This window comes from Homo sapiens, chromosome 2 (genome assembly GCF_000001405.40).
Source record: "Homo sapiens chromosome 2, GRCh38.p14 Primary Assembly".
Classification (NCBI taxonomy): Eukaryota; Metazoa; Chordata; class Mammalia; order Primates; family Hominidae; genus Homo; species Homo sapiens.
The window spans coordinates 3,979,561-3,987,303 of NC_000002.12; the positions used below are offsets into that span (position 1 = coordinate 3,979,561).

The 7,743-nt window shown below is 41.8% G+C and overlaps 1 annotated feature.

Annotated features, from left to right (window-relative positions):
- Positions 6,231-7,430: an enhancer, noted in NCBI's record as "MED14-independent group 3 enhancer chr2:4033381-4034580 (GRCh37/hg19 assembly coordinates)". NCBI's record gives its function as "activates an origin of replication core promoter dependent on BRD2, BRD4, P300/CBP and CDK7 cofactors, and independent of MED14, by STARR-seq in HCT116 cells {active_cell/tissue: HCT116}" and the evidence as "EXISTENCE:reporter gene assay evidence [ECO:0000049][PMID:35650434]".

Genomic DNA, 7,743 nt, shown 5'->3' on the forward strand with positions numbered 1-7,743 from the left:
AGACATTTCTATTGTTTATGAGTCACTCAGTTTGTGGTGGTTATAGCAGCCCTAATGGGCTAAGACAGCATTGTTCTACTAGTGACTGACAGTGGCTGACTCAGAGGACACGGGACCTGGCCCATATGTGCCTAGTAAAGTAGGGCTGGGGATAGAGGATTTGAACTGAGTCTAGGATCTAGAAAGATATTCATACTCAGAGCTAGAGGCACCCAAAGCTTCCACTGGGAAACAGCACCAGGAAGGGCCAGTCTGGAGTATCCACCAGGGAGGTAGAGGTGCGGGACTGCTGCTGCTGCTACTACTGCTACTACTGCTAGCAGCAATCATTCACATTTAAATAGAGCTTGACTTTCATAAACATTATTTAGTTGATTGTCACAGCAACATCGTGAGCTATTTAGGACAGGTTTTTATTATTTCTATTATAGGGTTTTCTTCCCTTTTCCTCCCTTTCTCCCTCCCTCATCCTTCCCTTCCCTTCATAAAGAGTTTCTGGGTCAGCCTCATTCCAGACATCATTGTAGGTGGAAAGGACAGGACAAGGGACTAAGGTCTTGGACAGAGGAGAAGAGAGGCTCAGTGTGGACATTACTTGCAAATGCAGGTTGTTACAGTTTCATGCTTGAAAACCGTGTTGATGGGTGCGACAAGAAAGGTGTTTCTGCTGATTACACGACAAAGAACAGATATAGGCTGTGTCTTCCCAGCGCTTCCCCCCAGCTCTGTTCTGGCAGCCTCACTAGTGTTTTCTTGGGAGCAGATGTGAGGTCTGGACCTGAGGAGACCTTTGGCTCCAATTGTAGGAGGCACTCTGGTTTCTGCCCCTGCCACAATAAACAGCCATAGCTGCTGCTGGGGGACCTGAGACTGGAACAATGACTACCAGCTCTGCACGCGATGCCCCGTGTAATGGCCATTCACTGCAAACATTAGAATGTTACCCTCTGACTCCACATTTTAAACCCTGGCAGGAAACCCCTGCTTTATATTTGCTGTTATGTTTAATGATTTGTAAAATCAACAGCTACACAAATCACTACTCTGCCAGACTTGGGTTGTGATTCCTTTTTTCTGTGTCCACTGCCCGGCCTTGTTACCTTCCCTGAACAAAATATTGTTTTCCCTAGCTGTGTTATTTCTGAAATCAGATGAAGGGCTGCCCAGGAAAGCACTGGCAGGCATTTCTGGTGACCTCTCCAGTGCTTTCCATGTGTACACCTCTTGAGAGCTTACCTCTTATGTACACATTAGGAAGTCACTGCATTTTGATGACAGCTGTGCGGAAGAGCCAGGGCAGGCTGTAATCTTCCCTCTTTTATAGATTAGCAAACTGAAGCTCAGAAAAAAATAAGTGATGTGGCTGGACAATGGCAGATCCAGGACACGAGGCCAAGTCCTGAATCTCAGTCCAAAGTGGTGACATTGTAGAAGAAGCATGGACTAAAGAGGCCTGGAGCTCAGAGCTGTGTAGACCTATTTGCCTCCTGCACAGATCTGGGCTTGCATCCTAGCTCTGTCATTTAAATAATGGCTATTTGTGCAGGCCCATTAGCCCCTCTGAGCTTCAGTTTGTCATCTGTGAAGCGGGACTGACAACACCCATGCATGGGTGGACTATGTGGTCAAGTCAGCATCAAAGACAGAACACAGAAGAGTGGCAGGTGCAAGGCAGTTTGGCAAATGCTAGTGCTGTGTCTTGCCTTCAGATTCTTAATTCTGATACCTCAAATATCCAAAAGTTTTGTGAAACAAGTCACAGTTAGTGCCAGAGTGCTGAACCCATCCTTAAATTTATTCATGGGGATGCCAATTTTTAGAGAGAGAGTGATGCTTTTGAATTTATTCTGGAAGTTGCTCAAATTCTGGATGAACTCAGAGATATTCAGGACCCAAAGTGGGTTTGGCTATGCCAACACAAGCAACAGCACCTCCAGCCCGTGGTGTTTCCCAAAATGAATCCCATTTCAGATAACAGTGCATTCCAGATGGGGCTCCCGGCAGGCAGAACTCATGGTATGGCCTTTCGCCCTCTGCTTGGTCCCACTCACACTCTCAGTCAGTTGCACCCATGTCTCCACGTACAGCTCATGCAGGCTGGTGGGTGGTGCAGGAGTGTGCTTGTATCAATGGACTTGCTTCATGAAGGGCCCCGAGGAACCTCCCAGCTCTCAATTCTCTGCCTCATCCCACAGTCTTCGGTGTCTGCCAGTGCAGCAAATTCCACCCACCACAGCTGTTTTGACAGCTGGGTAAGGGTTTAGGAAAGAGGCAAAAACGAAAGAAACGAAAGAGGACAAGAGAGGTAGGGAGTTAAGTGAAGGCATTCTGGAACTAAAATAGTCACGAGACCCATATATATTTGTGTGTGACTGTAAAGGAAATTGAAAAATAAAGATCCCAAGCAAAATTTTTAAAGAAAGGCAATTGCTTTGAAGAACCATACTTATTTGGAATTGTCAGTCCTTGTAGACGTGTGAGGAAAATCTGTCAAGACTTTATACCTGGTATTCAAGCATTCACAGTGCCTGATAAAAGGCAAGCTTGCGCTCCAGGATGGGTGCAGCTGCTAAAATGAGTGCGCTGCTCTTGTGTCCAACCCGGGGAGACTTCTGATTTGGAGCCTTGAGGATCAAACTCAGTATGATGTGCTTTTGAACTCAGACGCCATTTAAGTGCAAAGCTCAGAGGCACTATGCTATTGTGAAATAATAGCATAATGATTCAAATAATAAAAAATTAAGTGCATGCCTTGGTTTGTGTGTATTAGGATACAAAGTGAGCTAGGGCTGCTGACCTGGCAATTTTAATAAAACAAAAATGTATTTTTCCTCTGCATCTGAGAATATCAACAATCTATGTTCTATAGGAAAATTGATCTGAGATTAGCTTACTGGAATGGATGCCCTCTGCAGGTCTAGGCCATGCTGTCAATAACCATAGATGATGATAGAGTAGAATGTCTGGGTATAGGCAGGTGTAGGTCCTATTTCTTCAAAATCACTTCTTTAGTTTGGAACTAAGGATTTAAAGTAATTGACAGTAAAAAAAAAATTTAAAGTGGGCACATGTGGATTTAATCATGATAAAATAAGGGTATGATTTCATTTAATCTGTTCCATTCAAAAAACACTTGGGGTACTCCTGAATGTGTCAGGTATGGTGTTAGGTGCTGGGGGTAAAAAAAAGAGGTCACAGACAAGGCAGTGGGGAGGGCTACCTATGAAATACTTAGAAATATTTAATTAAATATTGAATTCTTAGTGAGTAGCTGAGATCTCAGGAAATGAAATGAAAATATCCAAGGGCCAAAACGGAAGAGGAAATTGACCCCCAGAATGACAGCACCACCTTGTGCCCAGGTGTCCTGAGATAGGGGTTGGAGGGTGCAGTGATTGCCACCTGCTCCTTTGGGCCTTTGGCTGCAATGCTAATTCAGGGAAAACAAGTGACGTCCGGGGCTGATGCACAGTGGGGAAATGGATTTCTTATCTCTGAATGAAGCCTCATGAAAAGATGAACTAAAAATAAACCCACCTTCCTTCATTAGGAGATAAAAGTAAAGATTATTTACAACCACATATAGTGTGTAAAACTTGATGGAATCTGGTTAAGAAAAAAAAACAAAAACCAAAGTACAGAAGACCCTAAGACCCTTTGTGGGCCATTGGGGAAATTGAATATAGACTGGATAGTAGATCAAACTAAGAATTTTTTGTTAATGTTCTCAAATGTAATAATATTGTCAGAATATTCTATTCTTAGAATTTGCATGCAGAAGTATTCAGGGTTAAAGTGTTATGGTGTCTACAACTTACTTTCTAGTGGTTCAGCAAATATGTATACATAGAGTTGAATGTATAGATGAGACCTTTATGACAAAATATTAATCATCCAGGGAGTGGGTATATGTGCAATCATACTGTTCTTCCTACTTTTCTGGAAGTTTGAAAAATTTTGAAATAGAAAATTGGAAAATGAAGGAACATTGTTTTTCTTGATCTAGGTTTGGGGATGAAAAATAACTTCCCTGAGATTTTGTAGCCATAAGCCTATCCTCATGAAGATTAGAGGTTGACTTTATTCCTTCTACATGACATGAGAATCCTTGGCCTGAGAAAATAACACAAAAGTAATAGAGGCTGGAGATACTACTGGTTGCCTGGCAGAAGGAAACACAAACTGCCTGGAGGCACAGATCCTCAGCTGAGAGTGCGCAGTACATCCTAGATGAAGCGAAGCACAGTAGGCATGCAATCCAAAATTACAAAACAGGAAGAGAGCGCAAAGAGTCAAACGTGAAAAACAACAGGATCCAATCCTGAAGGATGTTTAAATATGTCAAAGACGTCTTGGAATTGTAATAAAGCATGCAAGATAAGCCACAGAACTTTTAGAAATAAAATGTAAACTCACTGAAACAGAAAAAAAATCTGATCAGATTATTAAGTGAAATGAATAATTGGTGATGTGAAATGTGAAACCGGGAAACTTACACAGAATGCACTGCAGAGCACAGAGAGATGGGAAGTACCAGAGCGAGCCTGGGACACGTGGGCAGCGAGATGATCAAATGTACATCCAACGGAACTCAGTGCAGAGCAGGAGGAACGCAGAGCATGCAGCGTGCAGACAGCCATGGCCATTCGGATTCTGTTATTTCAATGAGCCCAAGGAAGGGTCTGCATCTGAATATGTGCTAATGAAACAGAAGAACTCCAAAGACACACTGTTAGAAGGGAGAATAGGTAAAAGCTGCAGTTAGAAGGACAGCAGTGTCAACAAGAAACAATAGTAGATATAAGAGATAGAATTCTATATCTAGGTAAACCATTGTTCAGTAATAATACAAAAATGAAATGTTTTCATTTACTTAGAAAAGTAAAAATTTACCCAATGTGAAACAAGAATAGACAAACATACTTCTATCATTAAAGCCATTGTATTAGTAGTTTAAATTTGCTCCAAAAACAAATTACCTCTCCCAATCACCAGGCCTAATGGCTTCTGTATGCAAGTTCCAGCAAATAGTTAAGGCATCCAACATCCCAATTTTGAGAGAGCAGAATAACAAGAGATATGAACCAATTCATTTGATGTGCTTTATATGACCTTTTATCAAAATCAGAGAAGAATAAAAAGTTATATACCTCTTTTACGTATATAGACTGAGACATCTCAAATAAAATATTAGCAAATCAAATCCAGAAACATGTATAAAAGTGTAGGCTGACAAAGGTGGGATTATCATGGGAATGCTGAGTTGTTTGCAACTAGAAGTATAGATGTAACTTATTAAACGATTAAAAGAGAAGAAAGCATATATCACTTTGAGAGATACAAAGAAGAATTTGGCGTATTGCACATCATGTCAGGAAGACTCAGTATTGGAAAGATGTTTGTGTTTGTCTCAAATTCAAAGCAATTCTATTAAACATTTTCCAAGGGCTTTTTTTTCTTCTGTAATTTAATAAGCTGATGGAGCAGTGAAAGGCCCAGAATATTGTTCCTGTTACTAGGGCTGTGTAACAAATGACCCCAAAGCTCAGTGCAGCAAAACCTTTACCATGTAACCCTTATAAAATCCTTGAGGAATCAACTTTAGAGGATATGTCACTCACATTAGATCTGGGCAGGGACTGGTGGGGACAGCTCATTTCTGCTTTCCTTGGCATCAGCTCTAGGACTTCCAGGCTGCTGGCTGGGATGATCTAAGGTCACTTTCACTCATGTGCCCAGTGCCCTGGCTGGGAGGACTGTACCGGGCAGGGGTGGGGGGTGGTGCTCCTTGGCTGTTTCCCTCTCTGTAGGTCATCTTCCCACACCATCAGGGTGGCCGGACTTACATGTCAGCTCGGCTCTGAAGCCGTGTGTCCCGAAAGAGCCGGGCTGAAGCTGTATCCTCCTGTGACGTAGGTTTAGAAGTCACAAACACATCATTTGCACCACTCTGCAATGGGTGTTAGTCAAAGGACCCTGCACAGATTCAAGGGAAGGGAATATGCACCTGTCTGCTGGTGGAAGTAGTGTCAGCAACATGTGGTGTGGACGTCATGTGTATGGATGAGTGTGAGTGTGTGTGTGTGTGTGTGTAAAATATAACCTGCCACAAATATTCCATACAATTCGAAGAACAAGGATTTATTCCATTAGACCCCATGAGATGATAAAGCTGAACCAGTTTGGAAGTATGGTACTGGTACATGGGTAGAAGCCAAAAATTGGAACAGTAGGTAGAGCCCTGAGATAAGCCCAGTCACATAAGGGAGCTACATTATACCAGTGTGGAAATGTGAACCATTGAGGAAAAGATACACTATTAAATTACTAATGATGAAGTGACTAGGGACTAAGGCCTGGTAATTGTCCAAGCATGTGGAGAAAAATAGGTATTGCTACACCTTACTAATAGTAATAGTCATAGCTAACATGGATGGACTATCCAGTACGTACCAGGTATTTTGCATGTGTTATTTGTAATCCTTATAAAATCCTTGAGGAATCAACTTCAGAGGTCACTGTCACTCACATTAGATCACAAGGATGGTGAGTTTTGGAGCTAGGATTTGAATCCAGATCTGTGCGAGCCACGTGTTTTGTACCTTCGTTTACCTCAGATGTTTGTTCTTGCCCTGGGACTTGTCTAACGTTGTTCATTTCCTGAAATCTCTTTGGTCTCAAACACTTGCGTCAATTCACTTTACCACATTACCTTCTGCTTGTCTTTGAATCATGGGCTTAGTCATCAGCCTCTGAGGGAATTGTTTCTGACCCTTGTCTTCTCCAGGATAGAACTTATACCCTCGGCCCCATTCTTTTAAACTTATGTCTATCATCCCATTCATGACAATGTGGGGGATAGAAAAGCAGGATTCACATGCTCTTCTCCTCCCCAAAAAACAAATATTTGCCTGTCAGAAATAAGATAAAACTGTCAAAGGCATACAAAATCACTGTTTAAAAACTAGTGTAAATTTTAAAACAGCAGTAACTATTCTGTTAAATAATAATGAAAAAGCAATATTAAAAAAAACGAAGATTGAGATCAAGAACAGAAGAACACTGAGCACTTTGGTGTCACGCAGGTTAAGATGACACTTGCAAGACGCTGTCTCTGTGAGGCTTCCATCTGTTCTTGGAGCCTGGGGAGAGGGTTTCTCACTGTCAGCACTTGCCCAGTATTGGGTGCATTCTTTCAGTCACGGACACTGTGGCTCTTTGTGGCTCCTTTCTTGGAAACTGTAGTTATTTGAAAACAATGTCGGACTTAAGGTCTGTTTTTTCACTCCCAGGCAATTCAGTGTTTTCTGTACTGATCTATCTCCCTTTTCTACCAGAACTGCCTTTCCCCTCAGTGGTTCAGAATGTCAGATAAACTGGGGGAGAGAATGCATAGAAGAAAGACCCCAGGCTGAGAAGATAGAACCTCATCTTTTCCTGAAGTTCATGAAGATACTTCTCTATTCAGCAGTTTCCCCTTAGCCACAGCTTTGCTTTCTGTGGTTCCGGTTACCAGCAGTCCGAAACATTAAGATATTGAGAGAGAGAGAGAGAGAGAAATAGAGAGAGAGAGAGAGAGAGCCCACACTTACCTTTTATTGCAGTATATTGTTCTGTTTTATTATTAGTTATTGCTGTTAAACTCTTTCTGTGCCTAATTTATAAATTAAACTTTATCATAAGTGCACATGTATGGAAAAAAAACATAGTATATATAGGGGTTGGTAGTATTCCTGGTTAACA